Here is a 22,657-nt window from a genome sequence, read left to right as displayed (position 1 = left end):
CAAACAATAAAACCCTAAATTAACTGAAAATTGTCTCTCCCCAGAGCCTGAGGCCCCACCCAGCTATGGCCTGCCAGGCTTCGGCAGGGAGCTGTCTCCCTCAATCCACCTGGCCCTGGCCCTGGTCTCCCCTCTCCCTTTAGGCGAATCCCACCAAGTTCCTGTGCCACTCACCAGGGCACAGAGCAGTCCTCCTCACCCCCCAGCAGCACCTGGCCTTGCAGCCCACCCTGCGCCCACCCCTCCCCTGGCTGCCAGGACACTGCCACGGACGTTGCCCTCCCTGGTTTCTTTCCTGCCTCCCTAGCAGTGCCTTCTCTGTGGTGCCCTGGAGCAGCCCAGGCATCGTCCCCAGGACATTTCCTCCCAGCCCAGTCCTGGCCTAAACACCCACCTGAGTGCCTGTAGGTCTTCTTGTCTCCAGGTCTGTCTCCTGAGAGCTCTGGGCCTTCACATCTGGATGGCATGGGACATCCTCCATGGCTGTGTCACAGGTGCCCCCAGGACTGCTCCTGTTGCCCCACCCAGCTGGCCCTAAGCCCCCGACCCATTTCCCATTACCAAACCCTAGCACAGGGGTGTCCAATCTTTTGGTTTCTCTGGGCCACATTGGAAGAATTTTCTTGGGCCGCATATTAACACTAACAATAGCTGAAGAACTAAAAAGAAAAGAAAAAAGCAAAAACATCTCAATGTTTTAAGAAAGTTTATGAATTTGTGTTAGGCCCCATTCAAAGCCATATCCTGGGCCACATGCGGCCCTTGGGCCGGGTTGGAAGCTTGCCCTAGGAATTTTAGATGGAGACGCTCTGTCTTGCCGGGTGTAGCACCCGCTCCTGTGGCTCCTTTCCTCTCCACACTGGCCAAGCAGGAGCTGAATGCTTTGGAGGCTCCCTGGGCATAAGGCCCAGGTGACCACTATGTGTTGGTGCTCAGCCTTTGCACATGCTGTCCCTCTCTGTGGAACACATTCCCTGGCCCGCACATCTTCCTCACCCCCAATTACCTCCCGGGCTCCACACAGTGCATTTCCTCAGGTGCTGCGCTGACCAGTGTGGTAGCTGCTGGCCACGTGGCTATGGAGCCCTTGAAATATTTGAGTTCCAATCAAGATGTGTAAGATACACTCCAGATTTCAAAGCAAAAGCAAAAACAGCTCATTCACACTTTTTATACTGATTTTATATTGAAATGAAAATATTTTGGATAGACTGGGTTAAAAAAAAATTAAGTTCACCTGCTTCTTTTTACTTTTTGAAATGTGACTGTCAGAAAATTTAAAGTCACATATGTGGCTCACACTATTTCTGTGGGACAGCCCTGCCTCTAGCTAGGGGCTTTGGTGAGAACCAGATGAGTTGATGGGTCTCCTCTGGGCCCTGCTTCCCTGGCTGCTGAGGTGCAGGAACTGTGAGGGGAGGGCAGCCTGTCACGGTGCCCAACACAGGGCAGGGCTGGACAGGTACAAGTGGAACAGGCGGATAAGCTGGGAAGGGCACAGAGAAAAGGAGCTCCTCGTGACAGCACTTTCCCACCTTTTATTATTCAACACATGGAAGGGGGTGGAGACACAAGGATAGGGCAATGGTGAGTTTCAATAAATAAGAGAAACAGGATGGACAGGCAGTGGGCCCATGCCTGCACGGCCCCACATAAATAACCAGGTTGCTGAGCCAGAGTGGAAGTCAGGGCTGGGCCTGGCAGCCGCCTGCACTGCCCAGAAGCACTGGCACCACAGGGACACAGAAACCACTGAGGCCCAAGGTGTGCTCCAGCCCCACCAAGTCTTCTCCCTAAAGCTCCTGAGATCTTGGGGCTGGCTGGGCAGGCTAGGGCTCTGTATCACAGTCCTGCCGGGATCAAGTCTATTTTTTCAGTTTCATTAAAAACAGCTGGGGGAGGGGCAGGCACATGCATTAAGCCCCTTCCGTAGGCAGAGCCATGGATGGACAGCCCCATGGGGGCCTTGAAGGCAGAGGCCCTGGAAGCAGCAAAAACGGGGCTGGATAAAGCTACTAATGGGAGGGATGGTAGAGCCCAGCTCCCCAGTCCCCCACAACCCAGCCCAGAACCTACAAAGAGCTGAAGAGGCCCTGGGTACTGAGACGTCTCTCCTTACTTCACAGTCAGAAAAATGGACCCAGCGATGGCCACAGATGTGCCCAAGATTAGAACCCAGGGACTCACTCTCCTAGCCCAGGACTTTCTGCTACCCCTTCCCTTTATAGACCTGCTGGAAGAGGAGGGGGACGCACATCTGCTCTAGGGCCCTGTACAGAGGCAAGGGTGTGGCTAATTACCAAGGAATGGGGCCAGGGGTGACGGGCACAGGCCCCTCCCCTCTGCCAAGCCCAGCCTCTGATGATACAGAGAATCCCGTGGGCTCCTAGGATCCAGCCAGGGCAGGCACGGGGGTCGGGGCATCCTTCAGGGGAGCAACATGGCAGCAGGGCCAGGGGCGGGGCTCAGCCTGCTCCTGTACACAGTGCCCGCCGGCCACCTGCCTCCTCACTGGGGCAGACGCTCCCACCTCCAGGCCTTGGTCTTTGCTGTCTCGTCTGCTGGGCCATTGCTTCTCGGTCCTCACAGTCCCAGCTGCAGCTCCACCTCCTCCAGGAAGCCTTCGGAACCTCCCAGGGCAGGGCCGCAGTGTCCTTAGACTAGACCGCCCCTCAGATGACCAGGTTGCTCTCACTTAGCCGGACCACATAGCGGTTCTCCTGGTGGGCAGGGGTGAGGGGTCAGAGCTGAGTCAGGGGCTGGCTTCTGGCTCCAGGAAAGTGGCCCCTGCCTAGGGCCCGCTGCACTTCCACCCCTGCCCCGTCTTCGGTCAGGGTTGGCCCAGGTGCCAACAGATGCCTTTCTCCTTGACTCTCACCTCGGCCTTGTTCTCTGCTGGGGGCTTCAGCCACTTTGTACGGCTTCCGCCACTTCCTAGCAGGGCCTGCTGCTCAGGGGGGAGGCCAGGCTGTGGGGAGTCAGGGAGATCACCCCACGAGGGCCCAGCCTCCGTGATGGTCTTCACCTCAGACACCATTGAACTTGTCCGCTGCTCAGGAATTCGAGCCACGCGGAACCTGTGAGGAGAGTGGGGCAATCATCCCCGTTAGCGGGGATCCCGGGGCACAGAGAAGGCAGCACGTGCCCGGGGTCACACAGCAAGTTCATGGACCAGAGCCTTAGCCTGAGAGGCCCGGGTGCCATGGGGGCCAAGATGCTGCCCTAGGGATGCAAGGGCTCCATGTGAGACACAACATAACCGGAAAGTCCTGATCTCTCTGGCCGCCTCCACTGCCCAGAGAGGCCCAATAAGGGCAGGGCTCCCATTGAGCAGGGTGCTCAGGGCCCAAGCTGGGGCCCTGCCTCCCCCTCCCGGCCCCCAGGCTGTCACGTCTTTACCTGCCCCTGCTGCATCTGTGCCCATCTCACCTGCCCACAGACAAGATGGTGATCTCGCCCTGACGCCCTGCCTTGGCCCCGGCCTTGGGAACCCTGGTCGGGTTAGGCAGAAGGCTGGGAACAGGAGTAGTGGCGGCTACAGCCTCAGGGGACAGCAGCACCTCGGGCCACTTCTTCTGGCTACAGCGGGAGCAGCAGGGGCCAGAGAGCGAGGCCAGGCCCTGCACGGTGTGGAGATGGTGGCGGTGCGGGCAGATGTGTGGCACGTTCGGGGGCGCTGGCGGCAGCCTGCAGGGGGCACAGGCAGAAGTGGCCATAGGCCAGGCCAGGGGCAGGAGACCCCAGCAGGGAACAGGGTGACTTGAGGGAGACCCAAGTGGGAGATCCCCAGGAGGCAGGCTGGTTAATGTAGGTTTTGGCCCCGTTATCTCCCACCAGCCCACTCACTTGGACACAGGCCTGTGGCTCGTCTGCACCAGCTGTTTGCTGTGGTACTCTTTCAGCAGCTCCTCCAGGGCCGCAGCATTCTCTGTGGGTAGCTGCAGTCAGACCCTCACTGTGGCCATATGGGACACACCTCCCACCCCCTGCCCCAGCAGAGAACCCCCCACCTACCCTCCATACCACCACTCCCAGCCTGGGCTGTGCGCCTTTTCCTCCCACTTCATCAGGCAAGAATGGGAGGCAGAGGTGTGCACTCCTGGGTCAGAGAGCACCAGGCTGCTTGAGGCACCCTGGCAGGGAAGGCAGAGCAGGGCAAGACTCTGCCCACCGCGGCTGCCTCACAGGCTCCTGGAGGAAACCCTCCTCTCCTGGGCACTGGGATGGGGTCAGACCTTCTCCTCACCTTTCTTCTCTGTGATCAAGCGCACCAGGACCCCAATGGTGTCCTCATTGGCATCCTCAGTCCGGTAGGCAGGGTTGATTCCTGGGGAAGAGAAGGGCCCTGATCCTGGGGAAGAGGGGGAAGCCGCACTCCTGAGCTAAACCATGATCTGCCAGCAGAGGGCAACCCTGGCCTTCTTAAGGGCCCTGAGCATGTGCATTTAGGTGACAAGCCTCCCAGAGCCCTGCAAATGTGGGATCCAGGCTCAGAGAAGCCCATATCACCTTCATGATTCAACACCAGTGCTTCCTGCACCCAACAGCCCGGGTGCATAGAGGCTTCAGGGCCACGTGAACTCCAGTCATTGAATTGGGCGGGCGAGGGGGCGGTGCGTCAGCGTCTTCTGGGTCTGCACTGTCTCCTCCTCAGCCTCAAGGAGCTGTGGGCTGCCACCCTACCCAGAACTCCCCAAATCTACAGCAAACTGCTATTCCATGGCCTCTCTACTGTGCCCTATGTAACAATTTAACTGAGTGCCCCTAGTCAGCTTTGGGCCCAAATCTCAAGGGTGTGAGAATGGGCCACGATGATCAGCCCTGGGCCCAGCAGCAAACAGAGCTCCCAGGACTTGCACCCAGGCAGCATCCAGCAGTTAAAGGGAAGTCTCTAGGAAAACAAGCACAGTCCCAGGCAAAATGGCCCTGAGTCACCACGTTTCCTCCTGCCGGCTTACTGCTCCTGTCCGCTTCCTGCCCCCGCCAGACTTCAGTGTCAGGACTTAGAAGGGTCTCTGGCTCCCATGCCAGCCCCAGACAGCCGAGGGTGCTAGCATGGGAGATGCCATTTCACTCTTGAGGTAGCCACAGGCTCCCATGGGCCCAGGGCAGGGTGTGTGCGAGTGGGCCCCTGCCCTGCAGGGGAGTAGTGGTGTGGGGAAGAAGGAAAGGGGCCCGGGGCCCTGGGGGTGAAGGTGGTGGCGCATGCCTGTCCCTCCGGTTCCAGGCCTTGTAACTCAAACTACAGCCTGGAACCAAAACCCGAGCCCCTTATGGTGCCTGCCCAGGACAGGACAGCTGCCCTGCCAGCCCTCCTGCCACAGGGCACTCCTGCTACTCCAGGCCAGAGGTCAGAGGTCACCTTGAGTAACTCCAAGGCCACCATCCGACCCTGGAACCATACACACAACTGTGGCCTCCAAAGAGTCCAGATCCCCACATCTGGGCAAGGCTTCACCCAGGGTAGGATCCACTGAAGCCACTTGACCAGCTGTGCCACCTCTGCTCTGCCCCCACGGCCACACCTTCGTCCCCTTACCTTTCCTCCCATGTTGTCAGTCTGCAGCTATCACCTCCCAAGCCTCTCCCTCTCAGACCCCAGAGGCCAGGCAGGATTCCGCTGGCAGCCCCCAAGTGGAGCTGGGGCTGGGCTCGTGCCCCCGTCCTTCCCACCTGGACCCCAGCTGGGCCTCACCACTGCCTCCACCTCCAGGGCCGGGCCCGACCTCCTTGTGCGCCGTGCAGTGGTAGCCCTTCCGCTTGAGGAGGTTGCACACCAGGATGCCCAACAGCCCCATGAGGCAGAAGACAGGGACGATGGCGATGACCGCGTACTGGGCGGCTGTCTCCTCTGGGCCACCTGCCCGGGTGCCGTTCCCAGGCTGCCGTGTCTCACCACCGCTGCTGGCCCCTGCTGCCACCTCCACGCCACGTCGGGCCCGCCGCCCCCACTCTGAGCATCACAGACGATGGAGGCAGGACAAAAGCAGAGTGACACAAACACAGAGAGACAGGGGCCCAGGGCCCGAGTCAGTGGGGGCTGCAGGAGAGCCAATGTGCCCAGGGGAGCCCACTCCCCGCCATGCTGGGGATGCAAAGGTCAACCCACTGCCCTCCTGTTTTCCCTTCTGGCCATCGAAGCATTGTCCTGAACAAGGCCTCCTCAGGACGGCCAGACACCCAGCCCCACCCTCCCCTCACGCTGGGGTCAGGGGGTGAAGAGATGGCACACAGGACACATGTCTGGGCACAGGGACGTGGGATCTGCCTCCCTGTGGCCTGGCCATGAATCTAGTGCCTCAGGGGGTGACTGACTCAGTGGCGGGAGGAGGTGCGTGTGGGTATGTGAGTGTTTGCATGCGCACACTCATCTGCATGGGTTTTTTTAGGCAGGGTCTCACTTGTTGCCCAGGCTGGAGTGCAGTGGGGCGATCACAGCTCACTGCAGCATGAAAATCATGGACTCAAGCAATCCTCCCGCCTCAGCCTCCCGAGTAGCACCACCACGCCCGGCTAATTTTTTATTTTTATTTTTTGCAGACAGGGTCTTGCTATGTTGCCCAAGCTGGTCTCAAAGTGATCCTCCTGCCTTGGCCTCCCAAAGTGCTGAGATTACAGGCATGAGCCACTGCACTTGGCTGGCATGAATCTCTTTGAAGGGATGGGGACAGGGGACAGGTCAGTATGTGAGTCCCCAGCCCCCAGCTGTGGCTGCCATCTGCAGGACACTCTCTGCCACTCGGAAGCATGGTGGGCAGAAACAGCCAGGGGAGCGGCTGACTGTGCCCTGCTGGAGACCCTTTGGCTGCACGCCCTGCCCTGGGCTGGAAGAAGGACCCCACTGCCCCCACATGAACACTGCAGAGGCTGCTGGGCTCCAACTCACTGGCCCCTCCCGCACATACCCCTGCACCAGTCCTAGCCCCAGTCTGCCACTCACCATCACAGCCATGAGTACCCAGAGGTGCCCAGGAACATGGTTGACATGGAACGCGGGGAACCCCCCAAGGCCCAAACCACCTGCGAGGAGGGAAGATACCACTGAGGCCCAGAAGTTTCCCCAAACACTATCCTTAGGAGAGGCTGGATTCCTTCCTACCAGGCACCCTCCGTGGTCCTGCCCCATCCCATTTCACAGATGGGAAGAATGAGGCCTGCTCAGGGTACAATAAGGCTGGGGCCCCAGGATCCAGAGTCCTGGTCACCCAGCCAGGAGCCCTCCCCGCACTCCCTTTGGCTTACCCAGGCCAGCAGTCTCCACAGAGTGTATCTCGAGTTGCCATGCCCACCTGGGCCTCCAGCCTCCTCCAAAGGCTGCAACGGGCATGGGGCTGGCATGGGCTGGAGCCCCATGCAGCTGAGAAGGTGCCTGGGGGGCAGGGCCTGCATAATGTGCCCTGCCCTGGGTCCTGTGGGAGGTAAAGGGTGAGAGCATGGCCAGGAGCCAAGCCTGAGGACCCTTGGGGGCCAGGCACAGGACTCTGCCCCTGGCCCTCAGGGCCCTCCCAGGACAGGCAGGAGAGCAGGGCAATGCTCACCAGGTCGGGCTCCTCCCCAGGTGGGCACTGCCAAAGGGTTGTTGATGTCAGGGTGGCGAGAGGCCAGGGCAGCAGCTAGAAGAACAGTAGGCATTGAAAGAGGCAGAAAGTGCTGGGTGTGGGGTCTCTGGGGTCATCTATCCCCCACCTATTTCCTGAAACCCCAGTGGTAGGGACCACTGACTACCCCACCCGGGCTTCAGGGACACACTCTTCTAACCTCAATCCCTCACACTGAGGAAAACCTGTCCTGTCCCAGACCTGCTGCAAGACCAGTACCTGGGCAAGGAGAGAGCCACATCTGGCTCTGGAAAGTGCTGGAAAGCCCCAGATAAGGCCACATCAGGATCTCAAGCCCTTCCAGCTAACCAGAACGATGAGGAGGAAATGCTTCCGAATCCTCTCTCGTATTCTGCCCCCACTTCCTCCTACTTTGGGTCCATCCCTGGCCCCATCACAGCTGGGCATATCATTAACCAGCCTCATTTATAATCCCTGGAGCCAAGTCTGCAGGTGGCGCTTCCTATTCTGGGCTCTCCCTTCAGCGAAAGTCTCCAGGACCACATCCTCCTCTGCAATCTTCCCTCAAGGCGAGGCTACCCCATTCACACCCACACACCCAAACAGGGAGACGCATCCCAAAAGAAAGCTCCATCTTCTCAGTGTGTGTCCCCAGCCCATTTCACTAGGAGTTCTCTCTGCTTCCCATTCTTAGGAATGAACTGTCTCTCCTGAATCCCTCCTAGAGTCCCCCAATTTGGCCTAGGCTGGATGAGGCTACCATCAGCTGCCCTGGAGATGGAATAGGGATCTCCTCAGACCCCAGAGCGGCTCCCAGCACCTGCTAAGGCTGGAAGGCCTCCTGTACATGGAGCAACCCTTAGCAAGGCCCAAGGCCAAGTCTCACCCTCCCTGAGCTTCTAGCGTCACAGCAGAAAGATGGGCCCCAGGGCAGACCCCAAGATGCTGCAAGTCTGTAATGTGGACTTGCCTGCAGCTCCGGGCAGCTGGCCTGATCCTGTGATCCTGGGACCTGGAATCTGGGATCCCCCAGACCAATACAGATCTTGAACCCCAGCACCTGAGGTGCTATGGCTCTCAGGGTCCAAATCCCAGGCCTCTTTTGCCCAGTTTCCTCTTGGTGCCCAGCATACCCTCTGGGCTGGGCTCCGTTCTCATGCCTGCGTGCCAATGGGCATCTTGCCCTCAGCCATGCCTGCCTTGCCCATAAATGCCAGCAAGCCCTTCATTCTCCATCTCCCTGACAAGCCTGGGTGGGCCCAGAGGTGCTTCCTAGGGTCCAGCTGCCTCAGATTCTTGACGAGCTGAGTAACTGAGCCCTGCCCAGCAGGGGGTTCCCCGGGAGTGTCTGCACCCTCTTGCTGGAGGGCTGCAGGGCTGAGGGTGCGGCTTTTCTCCTTCCCAGGGCCCATCCCCAGCTCACCATAAGGAAGCAGGACAGGGGCCGGCACAGCAGACTTGGCTTCATCCTCAGGCCCCTGGTGGTCGCCGGCCTAGGGCAGATGGAGAGGAGGCTCGGCAGAGCGGCAGGGACAGGCAGGCAGCTGCTGTCCCCTCAGCACCACTTCCAGGATGACAGGACTCATGGGGAGCAGGCAAGGTGCTGCTGGGCAGGCAGAGCCCGGGGAGGCCGGCTCCACACCCGCAAGCACAGGCCCAAGCAGAGGGGGCTGCCCTGCCTGGGAGCCGGCCTCACGGGGCAGCACAGGCAGGAAGGCAGGAAGAAGGCTCTGCAGGCTGGGAGGCTTCCCAGAGGAGGAAGGGCTTCCTTCCCCTTCCTTAAACTGCCAGGTGCCCCGAGGCATCAGCAGGGGAAGGAAGCGCGTGTGGCGGCCTGTGTCCGTGATGACAGGGTTGCAACCAACACCCAACACCCCAGCCCGGCCTCCACACTCCAGCCCAGCGCTCCAGGCTCAGGCTCCCCCCGCCTCCTCCTCACAGGTCTGCAAGCATGCCCGGCCTCTGCCTTCACTCCTGCTGGTTCTGGTCCAAGGAAGGCCTTTTCCTTTACCCTTCAAAGCTCAACACGAAGGCCTCTCTTTCCAGAAGCTTCTCTAGAAGCTTTCCCCAAAGTGGGTCTGGCTCCCACAGCTCCCCACCCCATCTAGGTCCTGGTCCTTCTGCATGGCCACTGTCCACACCTCTTCCAGGGAGGCTGACTCCTCCCTTGAGGCTGGAACATGTCTGGCCACAGCTCTTCCCCTGGCAGACCTATGGGGCTGGGGTGGTCACGGCAGCCAGTGCTCTGTCTTTGTCATCTCTCCAGCACCTACTGCGTGCGGGCACTGGAGAAATCGGTATGAACAAGACAGACAAGGTCCCTGTCTGCAGGGAGCTCCATCCCAGGGGAGACCCAACTGCAAACAGAGAGGTGCCCCTGCCATTTGGTGGTAAGTGCCAAGAAACGAAATAAAGCAGAGTGGGAGTGCAGTGTGTGATACTTCAGAGAAATATCCATGGTGGCGTCACGGCCCACCGGTCTGAGACTGAGGCCCCCAGGCCCAGACGGTGGCCTGCTCTGGAGAAGCCTCCGGCCAGTGGACGAGGCGGACACAGCAGGACAAAGGATTCACATCAGACAGCAGAAGGGACAGGTGGCAGAGCAAGGAAGTCCGCTGTGTACTTCCTGGAGGCCTGGCTTCAGGGGCACGAGGCTGAGGAAAGCCGTGCTCTTCAGGCCACACGCAGCCTCTTAAGCCCAGGGGCAGCCTGGGAACCCAGCCACTGGCTCAGGGCCGCCGCGGCTGAGGCCCCCGCTGTGACTCCAAGGCCGGTGAGGTGAGAAAAGCGCCTCCTGTGGTAGTCCCAAATCACTCAGAGTCCTCTCCCTGCAGGCAGCCCGGCCCTCCCACCTAGAATAGCAGCCCAGGAAACCGATCTGTCCACCCGCCCTCCCTCTTGGCAGATCTCAGAGGGGCCCAGGGTTTGAGTTACACTCAGGGGAGGGAGTGGGCAGCAGTTACATCATCTCAGGACTCTCCAGGTCACTGGCAGCCACTCTGGGTCCCAGGCCAGCTCAGGGGAAAGCCAGGGACAGGAGAAGGTAGGGCCACAGTATAGGGTGGAGGCCACACCTGGCAGTCAACACCCAACAGATGGCACCCCCAGGCTATTTGGGGAGGGTCCCCTGTCACTCCTTAAATTTGGTCACAAGTCTTCCTTCCAGTTTCTGCCCCAAAGTGTCCTGTGCCCTTGTCAGGGCCCAGCTCCCACCTCGAGCCTGTCTCCCCATGGCCCCTCCTCTGTCCTTTGAGGGATCTAACCCACAGACCTGACCACGAGCCCCAAGTCCTCAGGCTTCACTTCCCCACTAGGCCTGACTACGCAAGACAGAGCCTGATGCTGGGGGTGGGGGCAGGCTGTGGCAGGCATGGTGGCTCACGCCTGTAATCCCAGCACTTTGGGAGGCAGAGGCAGGTGGATCACGAGGTCAGGAGTTCAAGACCAGCCTGGCCAAGATGCTGAAACCCCGTCTCTAGTAAAAATACAAAAATTAGCCCAGTGTGGTGGTACAACTTGTAATCCCAGCTACTCGGGAGGCTGAGGCAGGGGAATCGCTTGAACCTGGGAGGTGGAGGTTGCAGTGAGCCGAGATTGTGCCACTGTACTCCAGCCTGGGCGACAGAGCAAGACTCCATCTCAAAAAAAAAAAAAAAAGACAAAGCCAGGGGGAACCGTGACCAACCCAACAGCCCAGCCCCCAGCTCTAGCAGCCCTCCATGTCCCCAAGGTAGGCCCAGAGGGCTGATGCGGGGGTGAAAAGAGGCCAAGCAACCACAGCAGAGAGCCCTAGAACCACCCCAACCCTGGGTGGCACCTGCTAGGTGACCTGAGCCCACAGGGAGCAGCTGTGCAGCTGCTCATCTGCAGACAGACGCAGAGCTGTGTGATCTAGAACCTTCCAGGAAGAAAGCGGGGTCCAAAGGCCCAGACTCAAAGCCAACGAGGGCCCACTCCAGCACACGCATAGACACTGCCACCTAGGGCCTTGCACCTTCTAATTACGCACCTTCTCATTACCCCAAACCAGCACTTACTCCAGTCTGGCTGCCCGGCCCCCACACTCAGCCCAGACTGAGCCCCCACTGGACTTGCCCGGTCAGGTAGAAAGGCCTGGTGCACACACATGTCCACACCTGCTGCTCAGCACCCCTCACACCCTGCCCCACAAGGCCTCCACTGTCTAAAACGGCCCTGGAACCGTGACCAAAAAAACAGTTAGATGGAAGCCCCCTCGGCTGGGAGGGGATATCTGAAGGTCCCATATCCGTCTCTGCCTCATCCTAAAGGCTGGGCAGTCAGTGAGGCCCCAGAGCCTCCGATGCCTGACAGAGGAGAGCCACACCCAGCCACACTGGATGGGGAGGAGGGGCCCCAGGGGGGTAGCAGAGAAGGAACTTGGCTTAGAGGCCACTCCTCCCATGTCTCCTAGCCTGGGGCCCAGTCTCCACTGCCACCAACTCCCTTTGGGACCTTCACATCACTGGGTCTCAGTTTTCTCATCTACAGAGATGGGGACGTTCATCTTGCTGGCATGGCTGTCGCGAAGTTTTTGGGGAATTTCTGTTTTGTTTTTTCTGAGACAGTGTCTCACTCTGCCATCCAGGATGGACTGCAGTAGCACGATCACAGCTCACTGCAACTTTGAACTTTTAAGTGATCCTCCTGCTTCAGCCTCCTGAGTAACTAGGACTGCAGGCATGCCCCACCATGCCTGGCTAAATTTTTAAATTTATTTTCTGTAGAGACGGGGTCTCATTATGTTGCCCTGGCTGGTCTCCAACTCTTGGGCTCAAGCGATCCTCTCGCCTTGGCCTCCCAAAGTACTGGGATTCCAGGTGTGAGCCGCTGTGCCCAGCCAGTCATGGGGTTTAAAGGAGGTAATGAAGCTAAAGTAGGTCATGGGATTTCCTTCTCCACAGCCCTTCTCCTCTGCCCTGCTGGCAGAGGGCTGTGATTAAGTATTTGTTTGCTTACTTGTTTATTCCTTGCTCCCCCACCAGACAGTGGTGAGGGCAGGGACGTCTGTTTTATTTGCCACAAAACTCCACACCCAGCCCCATGTCTGAAGCGGGAGGCCTCCAAGCAGGCTCACGAGGCGGGGAGGGTTTCCTCAGACTCAGCTCTCCAAAAAAATGCCCGAACAATGAGAACCAGAAATTCCCTGGAGAAAAGCCAACTAGCAAAGGCCACGGCCAGACCCCCAAGCTGAGGGCCCCAGACCACGATTGAGGCCACAGATGGTGGAGCCCCAGGGAGGTGCAGCCTGGAGGCCTCAGAGAAAGAGGAAGCTGTGCCACCAGCCCAGGCCACAGGCAGCTTCCCCTTTCCCAGAACTGAAGCTCGCTGGGGTCACCCGGGCCCTGCCACGCCACTCCCCCTCCCCTAGGCAGGGCCCTCCCCTTCCCTACAGTCCCTAAGCTCTCCCAAGGCCTGCGCCCATTGCTCTTGCCCCCTTGCCCTGTCTCTGGCCTCCAGGTCAGTCCCGCCCTGCAGCCTAGGTGCCCTGACACCCAGTTCTGGCCCTGGCCCTGGGCCAGCTCCCACCACCCTCAGGATGGCGTCGTGACGCGCCCCCACCAACCTCCCCCACCCACACGCCTGCCACGCTGAGTGCTTTCCACCCTCACACACGCTGCACCTGCTTTCTGCTCTCCCCTCATCGCTTGGCCAGCACCCACTCTTCCTTAGAGCTCAGCTCGAAGTCACTTCCTCCTGGAAGTACCCTCTCCCCCACCTCCCCCTCAGCATTCATGGTGCCATGCAGATCCTATTACCCAGCCCTTTCCCCACCACGAGCTGCCTGCTCCATGCCCAGTGCCGACCTGGGCGGGTATGGGCTGATTTGGGGGAGAAGGCAGAAAAGGCACTCTTGGTAGAGAGCCCAGCTATGCCGAGCTAGAAGAGCCAGTGAGCAGGCTGAGGGGGAAGGAGCCCAGAGGCTGGGGTGGGTCAGAACCCAGATCTGAACCCCTGGGCTAACCTGGGGATACAAAGTATGGGGTGCAGTCCTGCTCTGCTCTGTCTTGCACTGGCTCTGTGGCCTGCCTGCAGAGGGCTGTGGTAAGGCTGAAAGAAGAGAATCACATTAAGTACTCAGCACAGGCCTGGCACAGAGTAAGCATTCCCCACACTTCACTGTGACTCAGTTTCCCTACGTGTGGAATGTGGAGGAGAAGGGCACAAACCTTTTATTTACGTTCAGTGCCTGGCACAGAGTCTGGTATACAGGCGGTGCTGGGTTCGCCCTGGTGGGAATCTGGAGGGTGGGAGGGCGGAGAAGACGGGAGGAGTCTGGAGGAGTCTGGGAAGGTTGGTGGGCAGTGCTCAGGTCACACCAAGGCTCAGCTGCCTGCCAAAAAGCCTGCACTTCCCCCTAGGGCCTATGGGAGCCAGGAAGGGTTAAGCAAGGGATGGAGAAGAATGAACAGTTCGGTCTCAGCAGGCTCCCCAGGCTGCCTGCTAAGAGAGGCCGCACTGGGGGAGATGGAGGTGGGGGCTGGTGCCCACCTGGAGGAGGGCAGGTAGGGAGGCAGCTACTCTGCTTCCCAGATAGTGGCTCCTGAGCCTGTGGACCTCCCTCTGGCCTCCAGAGGCTAGGGTTGCCTGGAAACACAGCTGGACACAGGCCTCCCTTGGCGGTGGCCACACCCAAGGCAGGAAGACAAAGGCCACCCATCAACAGAGAAATCCAGGTTAGCAAGGAGCCCAGCGGTTCCCTGGCAAGTGGGGCTGAAGTAGGGCAGCGACCACGCTGAGTGGCTTTCCCTCTTCCACACTCACAGGGAAAGGAATGGACCCCAGCCCTGTGCAGGCCGGGCCCTCATCCTGGGTTGCTGCCTTTCCTTGCAGGAGAAGTGAGCATTCCTGTTTCACAGCTGGGCAAACTGAGGTCAGGGGAGGTCACTGGCGGGGGTCACACAGCCAGTAAGAGATGAAGCAGGAATGGAGCCCAGGACTGTCTCTTTTCTGCCTCCTTTTGCCCTGCAACTTAGCCCAGGACCTGGCACATAGTAAATGTCCTTGCAGTGTTTGCCAACCTGATGGTGGAGGCTAGCAAGCTAGTAGCACCCAGTAGGTGGCTCAACTGAGGGTCTGTTACTAAGGACCCAGGAGGGCCCCAGGAGAAGGTGCTGTCTGCACCGCCATCCCATGGGGCCTCTAGGAGTTGCCTGCATCTATACTCATTTGCATATTGTTCTAGTCTGTGCCAGCTCTGGCAGGAAAGGGAGCTGTGAACTGAAAGAGGCAGGAAGACCGGGGAAGTCTGGGAATTCCCAGAGCGGGGAAAAAGAGGTCCCAGGGTGGAACCCCAGCTTACTAGGGCTGCTGCTGGAAGCTCAGAGATGTGCAGAGGCTGGCTCAGGGCCACTCAGTGAGACAGGTGCTCCACTCCTGCCCCCTCCCACAGCCCTGGGCAGCCATGAGCTCCCAGGTCACCACGATGGGGTATAAACCAGTCCCTCAAGGGCTGGGGAGCACCTCGAGGCCAGGCAGCAGCTGCTCCCCAGCCCACTCTCAGCAACACCCCCAGAAGTTGGGCATGGTTCTGCACCTCAGACCTCCTGGCTGCCACCAGGCCTGGGTTTCAGTGGCTCAGGTGGATGGGGTGGGGCTGAGGCTAAGGGGGCTAAATTGGCCCCTTGAGGCCAAGAAAAGGGCTGAGGTGGCCACACCTGGCCCACCCAGCTCCTCCCAGTCTGGGTATGGTACAGGTGCAATCCTTGCCCCACTTCCTGGGCCGAGTCTGGGGCTAGAGGAGGGATGTCTGAGACCAGACAGTTATCTCGGGCAGAGAGGAGGCTCCCTAACCCTCCTCACTGAGCACTACTGCCTGTCCCCTTCCCACTCTAAGCTGGGTCTCACTGAACCCCTCAAAGACAGTGTTCCATGCTTCACACAGAAAAAACTGAGGCTCAGAGAGGTCAAGTGGTAGCCTGTAACAACTTCACCTTGAAGGAGATGAAGTTTACCTACCCTGGAGTAGGGGCAACTGGCAGGCGACCCCTGCCTGAGCCACCCAGGCCTGGTATCTCCACTGCTTCTGGCCACCGTCAACCTCTCAGCACCACAGACAGCCCTGTGTTGCCAACCCTGGCCCTGAGACAGGACAGCAACGGGTCTGGGGGTGCTGAAGGACACCTCACTGCAGCCCCGGCTCATGCTCTGCTACCTCCTCCAAGAAGCCACCTTTGCCACCTGCCCCGGCCATAAAACTGATCCCAAGTCCCTAATGTGCTCAGCATGGGCCCTGCCCCCAATCACCCTGACCTGGAAGACCTGGGCAGAGGCTTTGGGAGGGACTTGGGGGAGACCACAGCCCTGGTCTGCCCCATTCTCCAACTCTCCCCAGACTTGCGGTGCTGGGGAAAGAGGCGCCCCCAGGGCCATCCCAGGTCAGGTCCTACCCAGTGGAGCTACGCTGAGGACTGGGGTCAGTGCAAGTGCAGTGGTGGAGCAGGGAGGAGACAAGGTTGGGCCCTGGAGCAACCCACCAGGGTTCAGACTCTGGCTCTGTCACTTCGCAGATCGATGGCCTTGGGCAGGTTACTTACCCTCCCTGAGTTTCGGGGTCTTCCTCTGCAAACAGGGGTGCTAGTCCCTGCCTCATGGGATACTGAGGGCTCTCAACACAGCTCCACGAGGGCCAGAGGAACCCAAGCTCAGGACCAAGCAACAGCCAGCCGAGGTCACCCAGAGGCTTGGGTGTGGCAAGAGTGCTTTGGGGAACTCCACGTAAACCCTGGCAGCACAAGTAGAGGGGCCTCGGCCTCTCTGGGAGGGCCCTGGGTGCCCATGTCCCAGCCCCTGTACAGGCCTACGTCCACCTGCTCCCACACCAGCCAGGGCCATGGTCAGGAATGTAAGGGGTAGTTCAGCAGTCAGGAACCCAGCCCCAACTTCCCAAGCCTGTTTCCCAATTACACCAGTGCAGCTGACCTCATGGTGTGGTGGAGGACTCAGCGTTCACAGGCAACAGGGGCTCTTCTTACAATCAGGCCTTGGGCCAGGCATCCCCTCCTGTAGGAAGCCTCCCCAGCCTCCCTGTCAAGAGGGCCCCCTCTCCTCTCCAGACTCCCCCACCCCTCACCCCTGCCATCAGTTTTCAGTCTCCCTTGATTCCTCGAGAAGGGGTGAGGCTCCTTGAGGGAGGGAGGGAAAGGGTCTGTGCAGGAGGCCAGGCATGCAGCAGGCTGGTGGTGTGGGTGGCCAAGGTCCTCCCCTCTCACTGCTCCTCCTCACAGTGCATGCACTGGGCTAAGCGCAGGTCCCCCCTCTGGAAGCCCCCACTCCTCTCTCTACCTGCACACTCAGACCCTGACTCTAACTGGCTGTAGAGGTCCCGCTGTCCCCCTCTGTCTGTGACAACTAGCCAGGGCACTTGCTCACAGCCACATGGGCAGCTTATTTATAGAGCTCTCATCTTTCCCAGAGTGGCCTAGGAAAGAACTCTGGTCTTCAAGGCCAGCAGACCTGGGTTTGGATCCCAGTGACACTGGGGCCTGGCAAGTGCCTCCTCTCTCTAGGCCTTGGTTTCCCTGCCTGTGCTTGGAGGGAATGATGACCCCCAGGAGTATAAGGCTGAGGATGTGACAGCCTCCCGGGCCATAATCCCACGGATGGGCAGAGTAGGGATGCAGCATTGGCTCTTGTCCTCTCTGCCACTCCAGCCCCACTCAGCAGCACCAAGCCTAGGCCCAGAAAGACACGGGTTCAGCACACAGTGGGTATTCTCCCTGTCCAGAGACCACATCCCTGCTCCCCCATCGATCCTGAGTGGGGAATGGCGCCAAACACACCCTGCTGAGTAACCTCAGGCAAAACCCCTTCCTCTCTGGTCCTCTCTCCTGCTGACCTGGCAGAAGGGCTGGCCCCATAACAGAAGTAGTCAGGTCCCGCCCAGCCAGACTGGGTGCTGACCAGCCTGGCCCTTCTTGAGAAACTAATGTTAGAATTGTCAGACAAACCCCTCGACCCTCACCTCCTGCCTGGAGACCAGGCTGGGGGCTGGGTAGGATCTGGAGTACCTGACTACAACACAAGTGGCTGCGTGACTCAGCCTAGGGCTGCTCTCTGAGTCGAGGTTCCCCCATACCAACTTGGAAAGGAGAGGGCCCGGGTGAGTGCTGTTGTGAGGAAATGCTGGGCCCAGAGCCTGGCACACTACAGGGCCTGAGCAGGGACAGTTGCCTCTACTGGCTCAAGATGTCGAGGACCATGACAAGCACTACACTTGCCCCCTACCCACAGGAGTGGCCGTGAGTCTTTGCCCCCACCCGCCAGCACACATTCTGCCTCAGGTCATGGTGAGCACCAGAGACCTGGGTGCAAATCTCCCGGTGCCTCCCAGCACACAGGTGCTGGGATCCTAGAGCAGCTGCCCTTCCTCAGGAAGAGGTCTCGTCAGCACAGAGACGGCAGTGGGAGGGGGTGGGCTACTGGCCACGCTGGCCCCACCAAGCTGAGCATGCGGTACCCACAGGTGCCCCAAACCTGTGCCCATTCCCCAGCAGTGAGGGAGGACACCTGGCAGGTGGCCCACAACAATGAAGGGAGACTAATTTCGGGCCAGGAGGGCTTCCTGGGTGAGGTGGAGCTGGGGCTATAGTCTGGATGGCCAAGAGGGTTCTAGAAAGAGGGAAGCTTTAAAAGCAAAGGCAAGGCAGACAAGGCATCTGGCAAGGAGAGGCGAGGGTAAAGATGCAAATTCTGAAAGGCCTTGGAAGGAAAGGCCTCATTGCCAGGTGAGGAGTTTGAACTACACTTTGTAGGCGAAAAGCAAGTTATTTTATGGAGGTCACTCTGGCAGTGTGCGGGAGAGCCGACGTGGAAGCACAGAAGCTAGAACCAGAGCCTGGGCAGGGATGGCAAGGCCAGAGCTGGAATATGAGGCAGGCCGACGTCCAGAAGGTGTGTCTTGGGCCTGCTTCCAGTGCTGGCCAACCTCCAGCCGCCAGGGAAAGTGTGGACACAGAATGACAAACTCAGGACAGAAGGCAGGTACCGCGTCTGGAAGGTGAAGGTTCTAGGAGTCCTAGGGTAAGTCCCTGAATTCTCAGAACCTCAATCTCTCCTTCTGTGAAATGAGATTGGGCCTGACCCTATGAGTAGGGGCAGGTGCTGACTGGCCCTCAATATCTCCCCTCCTTGGCTAGACATAGGGCCCTCCCTCCAGCAGCTATCACACCAGTCCCAACTGTGGTCACAAGTGGAAACCCAGCCTGGCCCCACTGTCATCCCCAGAGGCCCAAGTTCCCAGAAAGGTTTGGCTTGGCCAGGGCACAGGCTGAGGCTGGGGGCCTCCTTTAAGGCTGGGATAAGGAGAAGTTAACCCTTCTCCTCTTGCTCCCCCTCCCAGGCCCTAAGCTATTTCCACCTCTTTGTTGAGGATGGAAATAACTCCGGCTCAGCCCCTAGAGACCACGACAGCTATTTTCATCAGCCCCAAGAAGCACAGCTCCAGTCATTGCAGAGAGGACCGAGGGACACCCTGATCCCCAGTTCCAGTTCTTGGCCAAGTGGCAACAGTGGTCAGAGCCAAAAGGGGTCTCTGGGAAGAACAGGGAGACCGAGGCCCAGAGAGAGTAGGGACCAGCTCAAGGTCACTCCCTGTCTGCTCCCCACCATAACATGCAGGTGGATTTGGGGAAATGCCTCTAGAGCAACTGCAAAGGGGAGGGGGCCTCTCAAGTATGATGAAGGTCACCTGGGACTCTCAATTTTCCCTGCTACCCCTAGGCTGTGCTGCTAACTCCATACACTCTTCAAAGCCATGGGGACACCCCCAAAGCCAGGTCCAGGCTCTAGAAGGCAGGGGACAGGACTTTCTGGTGATGTCTGGTTGGGAGTGAAGTCTGGGGAGGAACAGGAAGACCATGTAACCCACCCATCCCCAGTGTTCCAGACATGTGTGCACACACACACATCATACTTAGAACTCACAATGTAATGCCCTGGCTAGGCCACGCCTACTAGCCCAAGTTTGAGAGACAGAAGTCCAGGAAAGCCATGAGCAGTTATTAGGAAGGTGGGTGATCCTCTCTCCCAGCATCTCACTGGTCTCTGGGGTCAGAAGACCTGAATTCCAGTCCTGGCACTGTCCTGACTCTGTATGACCTTGGCCAAGTCACTTTGCTTCTCTGATCCTCAGTTCCTTTCTCTGAAACACAGTCACTACATCTCAGAATCACTGCGAAGATTCAACAAGACAGAACACCATGAAGTGTTCAGAACAGTGCCTGACACTGTCCCCCACCCTGTCCCCCACCCCTAGAATGTAATCAGCATTTTCAGAGGACGACAGCAGAAGACAGAACTTCCAGATTCTACAGCAAGTGCCACCCTCTCCTAGACTAGGGAGCTCAGCTTCCACCCCACCCTGCATGAACCCCACAGACCTTCATACGGGAGAAGGGGCCTCAGAAGGGTCTTGCCCAGATGGCGAAAGGGTACCGCTCCAGCTCTCCAGCAAGAACTTAGCCTCCCAGACCAGAGACCACTCCTGGGGAACAAGTCTCTCCCCACTCTCCCCCAACCCAAGGAACTGAAGAAAGGACACCCAGGCAGAGAAGTGAATGTCTATGGATTTGGGGATCCATATTGTCTATGGATCCATTTCGTGACAGAGGACCAGGAAGCCTTTGGGTGGGAGGCTAACGTTTCCTTGACCAGTTTTGGAGAAGGCTGTGCTTCCAACCCTATCAGTAGCCCCTGAGTGCAGCCCCTGGGCCGCTGTGTCCCCAGGAGAAGCCTGCCCCCACCCCCCACTGCAGTCTTTCTGCCTGAAGGGAAGGGAGAACACAGGCAGTTGACCCAAAACAATAGAGGATCCCAAAGTGATGATTCACAGTCCATTCAAAGCCCAGCACCTCAGTGTGCAGATGGGGAGACTGAGGCCTGCGCGGGGGAGGGGGGCGGGGGGGTCTGAGAACAAGATTGTGTCCGGGTCCGCTGAGAATACAGATTACACAGGGGCAGAACTTTGCCAGGTGTAGGGACTTCGATGCGTGAGTGTGTGGATGCAGGTGGGCGGGGGGAAGCTGAGACTACCACAGGGCCCCTACCCTGCTGCCATCTGGGCCACCCCACCAGATGTTGCCCAGCCTCGGCTTTCTCCCTCAGCCAGGGCCTATCCCTCAGGGTCCATCTCCTCACCAAGCTGAACTCCTGAGGGGTGCCCTCGTGGGGACAGTCCTGGAGACCCTTGTCTCCTGGCTCCCCAACTTCCTCATCGCCCCACATCTGCCGGAAGGTGTCCTAGGTCCGGTCCCTCCTCCTCCTGCCTCTTACTCATCATCACCCTAGGCGCAGACACACACACACACACACACACACTGACACCACTTGACCCCACACGCACACCATGGCGCCAGCGAGCTCGGCTCGTTCTCAGTCACTTGGGCTCCTCTCCCTCTATTTCACACTCACAGTAACGGGTGGCCCTGGCCCTGCGCCGGTCACGCCCCAAGCCACGCACTTCGTGACCCCAGTGACCCCGGGTCTTTCCCTCACACAACACACGCACACACGCTGCCTGTCTCCCACACACAGAGCCCCTCTGTGTCGCCCGCTCGGCCCGGCGTCACCGCCCAGTGTCCCAGCCACACGTTCGCCCGGCCAGGCCGCCTCACGCGCCGTGTCACCCACAGTCACGGGCTGACACCATCCAGACCCCCCCTTGGCCGCCCCGCGCCGCAGCCGCGCCGAGGCGCCGCCGTCCAGCCCGCACCACAACCTGGTCTCGGTCCAAGTTTCCCGGGCCGGGGACCGCTCCGGGCCCCGCCGGCCCCTCACACCGCAAGTTCCGCTGCTTCCCCGCGCGCCCCCCGACAGCCACCACGCAGGGCCGGCCCGGAGTCGCGGCCGGAGGACCTGCAGGTCACGGGGCTCGGAGACTGGCGGTGGCCGGTGCGCGGAAGGCGCCGGGACAGGACGCGAGGCGGGAGGAGTGGGGTGGGGGGGCGCGCGGCCGGGCTGCCGCATCCGCCGAGCCCGCGAACTTCCTCAGAGACACGGGGAGGCAGGGGGCGCCACTAGGGTCCGTATCCCGCTGGCCCGGCCGCGGAGAGCAGACTCTGGATGGGCGCTCCGCGCGCCCTCCTTACCTGGCTGCGCCGCGGCAGCTCCAGCTCGGCTCCCCGTTCGACTCGGCGCCGCGGCCCGGCTCGGCGAGCGCCCGGACAGCCGCGCAGCCTGCGCGCCTTTTGAATGAATCGCCGGCTGGGCCGGGAAGGTGCGCAGACCCGCCCCCGCGCGTCACGGCCGCTCCGCCCCCGACGTCAGAGCGCGGTCTGCGCCCCGCGCCCGACTCACCCCGAGCCGCGGAGGGGCTCGCCGCTCTGCCGCTGGGCGGTGCTGCTCTACGTCGCCCTCTCTCGCGCCCCTGGGAACTGCAGGGGGCTGCGCGGGACTGGGCGGCGGTGCCCAGAGGGCCTCTTGTATCCGCCTCTTCAAGGCTCTGAACCAAGCAAGGAGTTGTGCGAAGCAAGATAAAGAGACTGGAGACTGAGATACTCCTCTGGGTCCTCTCAGCATTGCCAGTGTAACTAGAGCCACCTCTGCCCCTTTCTGGGCTTCATCTTCCTCCTGCCAGTTGGTGGCCAGGAAGAATAACCTCACTTTGCTTTGTTGACGAGGCCCAGGCCCAACCCTGGAAACCCTCACCTAGTTGGCGAAAAGGCCTGGTGAAGGTGAGTCTATAAAGGAAGCCCACACGGTGGGCTTCGGCACATCCTTCAAGGCCTAGTGAAATCCTCCAGGAGGCGTCTCCTGCCTCCACTCCCCTACTCCCCGCACCACTTCTCTGTGCCAGGGTAGTTAGTTTCCCTCCAGCAGGACAGGTGACTCAGTGCCCCCCTCCCTACTACAGCCATCCCACCCTGCCAGTTTCCAATGCCAGTCATCACAAACTCCAGGCAGTATTCACACTGTATTCCGACTCCGAATCGTGTCCCCTGGAGTTGTGCTACAGGGTGTGCCAGGACTGGAGGGAGCAGCTCAGTGGCCCGTTCCCCCTCTCAGTACTATTCAGGGGATCTCAGGCGGTCCTCCTGGGACAGTAGGGCTGATGGGAGACTGAGACACCAGGGAGGACCTAG

General features: G+C 59.7%; 1 protein-coding gene across 14 annotated transcripts, besides 12 other annotated features; it reads right to left on the bottom strand.

The window, feature by feature from the left end:
* Positions 1-689: 689 nt before the first annotated feature.
* RELT (RELT TNF receptor) lies at positions 690-21,765 on the bottom strand. Of its 14 annotated transcripts, none has more exons than NR_189152.1 (11): positions 21,665-21,765; positions 8,983-9,052; positions 7,539-7,613; positions 7,243-7,409; positions 6,941-7,020; positions 5,696-5,953; positions 4,247-4,327; positions 3,847-3,938; positions 3,430-3,687; positions 2,879-3,077; positions 690-2,720 (listed from the first exon to the last, which is right to left on the bottom strand). NR_189152.1 is itself a non-coding variant. In NM_001425248.1 (11 exons), exons 2-11 carry the CDS (start codon positions 9,025-9,027, stop codon positions 2,673-2,675), a joined length of 1,317 nt encoding a protein of 438 aa, NP_001412177.1. In that variant the 5' UTR covers positions 9,028-9,052; positions 21,665-21,765; the 3' UTR covers positions 690-2,672. The 14 variants fall into 14 exon arrangements, 12 of the variants coding, with proteins under 12 accessions (NP_001412177.1, NP_689408.1, NP_001412179.1 ...); NM_001425248.1 differs by having other exon boundaries at positions 3,847-3,928; positions 4,247-4,351; NM_152222.2 differs by having other exon boundaries at positions 3,847-3,928.
* Positions 9,145-10,092: an enhancer, noted in NCBI's record as "H3K27ac-H3K4me1 hESC enhancer chr11:73099117-73100064 (GRCh37/hg19 assembly coordinates)". NCBI's record gives its function as "activates a minimal SCP1, AML or CMV promoter by ChIP-STARR-seq in primed H9 embryonic stem cells {active_cell/tissue: H9 hESC(primed)}" and the evidence as "EXISTENCE:reporter gene assay evidence [ECO:0000049][PMID:30033119]".
* Positions 9,200-9,309: an enhancer, noted in NCBI's record as "active region_5238". NCBI's record gives its function as "activates an Ori minimal core promoter by ATAC-STARR-seq in GM12878 lymphoblastoid cells {active_cell/tissue: GM12878}" and the evidence as "EXISTENCE:reporter gene assay evidence [ECO:0000049][PMID:35858748]".
* Positions 10,014-10,173: an enhancer, noted in NCBI's record as "active region_5237". NCBI's record gives its function as "activates an Ori minimal core promoter by ATAC-STARR-seq in GM12878 lymphoblastoid cells {active_cell/tissue: GM12878}" and the evidence as "EXISTENCE:reporter gene assay evidence [ECO:0000049][PMID:35858748]".
* Positions 10,014-11,040: a biological region, named in NCBI's record as "H3K4me1 hESC enhancer GRCh37_chr11:73098169-73099116".
* Positions 10,093-11,040: an enhancer, noted in NCBI's record as "H3K4me1 hESC enhancer chr11:73098169-73099116 (GRCh37/hg19 assembly coordinates)". NCBI's record gives its function as "activates a minimal SCP1, AML or CMV promoter by ChIP-STARR-seq in naive H9 embryonic stem cells {active_cell/tissue: H9 hESC(naive)}" and the evidence as "EXISTENCE:reporter gene assay evidence [ECO:0000049][PMID:30033119]".
* Positions 11,041-11,990: an enhancer, noted in NCBI's record as "H3K4me1 hESC enhancer chr11:73097219-73098168 (GRCh37/hg19 assembly coordinates)". NCBI's record gives its function as "activates a minimal SCP1, AML or CMV promoter by ChIP-STARR-seq in naive H9 embryonic stem cells {active_cell/tissue: H9 hESC(naive)}" and the evidence as "EXISTENCE:reporter gene assay evidence [ECO:0000049][PMID:30033119]".
* Positions 12,814-13,053: a silencer, noted in NCBI's record as "silent region_3743". NCBI's record gives its function as "represses an Ori minimal core promoter by ATAC-STARR-seq in GM12878 lymphoblastoid cells {active_cell/tissue: GM12878}" and the evidence as "EXISTENCE:reporter gene assay evidence [ECO:0000049][PMID:35858748]".
* Positions 18,620-18,699: an enhancer, noted in NCBI's record as "active region_5236". NCBI's record gives its function as "activates an Ori minimal core promoter by ATAC-STARR-seq in GM12878 lymphoblastoid cells {active_cell/tissue: GM12878}" and the evidence as "EXISTENCE:reporter gene assay evidence [ECO:0000049][PMID:35858748]".
* Positions 20,786-21,080: an enhancer, noted in NCBI's record as "tiled region #2034; K562 Activating non-DNase unmatched - State 1:Tss". NCBI's record gives its function as "activates a minimal TATA promoter and a strong SV40 promoter by Sharpr-MPRA in K562 cells {active_cell/tissue: K562}" and the evidence as "EXISTENCE:reporter gene assay evidence [ECO:0000049][PMID:27701403]".
* Positions 21,246-21,325: a silencer, noted in NCBI's record as "silent region_3742". NCBI's record gives its function as "represses an Ori minimal core promoter by ATAC-STARR-seq in GM12878 lymphoblastoid cells {active_cell/tissue: GM12878}" and the evidence as "EXISTENCE:reporter gene assay evidence [ECO:0000049][PMID:35858748]".
* Positions 21,416-21,705: a silencer, noted in NCBI's record as "silent region_3741". NCBI's record gives its function as "represses an Ori minimal core promoter by ATAC-STARR-seq in GM12878 lymphoblastoid cells {active_cell/tissue: GM12878}" and the evidence as "EXISTENCE:reporter gene assay evidence [ECO:0000049][PMID:35858748]".
* Positions 21,736-22,045: a silencer, noted in NCBI's record as "silent region_3740". NCBI's record gives its function as "represses an Ori minimal core promoter by ATAC-STARR-seq in GM12878 lymphoblastoid cells {active_cell/tissue: GM12878}" and the evidence as "EXISTENCE:reporter gene assay evidence [ECO:0000049][PMID:35858748]".

This window comes from Homo sapiens, chromosome 11, assembly GCF_000001405.40.
Source record: "Homo sapiens chromosome 11, GRCh38.p14 Primary Assembly".
Classification (NCBI taxonomy): Eukaryota; Metazoa; Chordata; class Mammalia; order Primates; family Hominidae; genus Homo; species Homo sapiens.
This window is presented reverse-complemented; position numbering and strand designations above follow the sequence as displayed.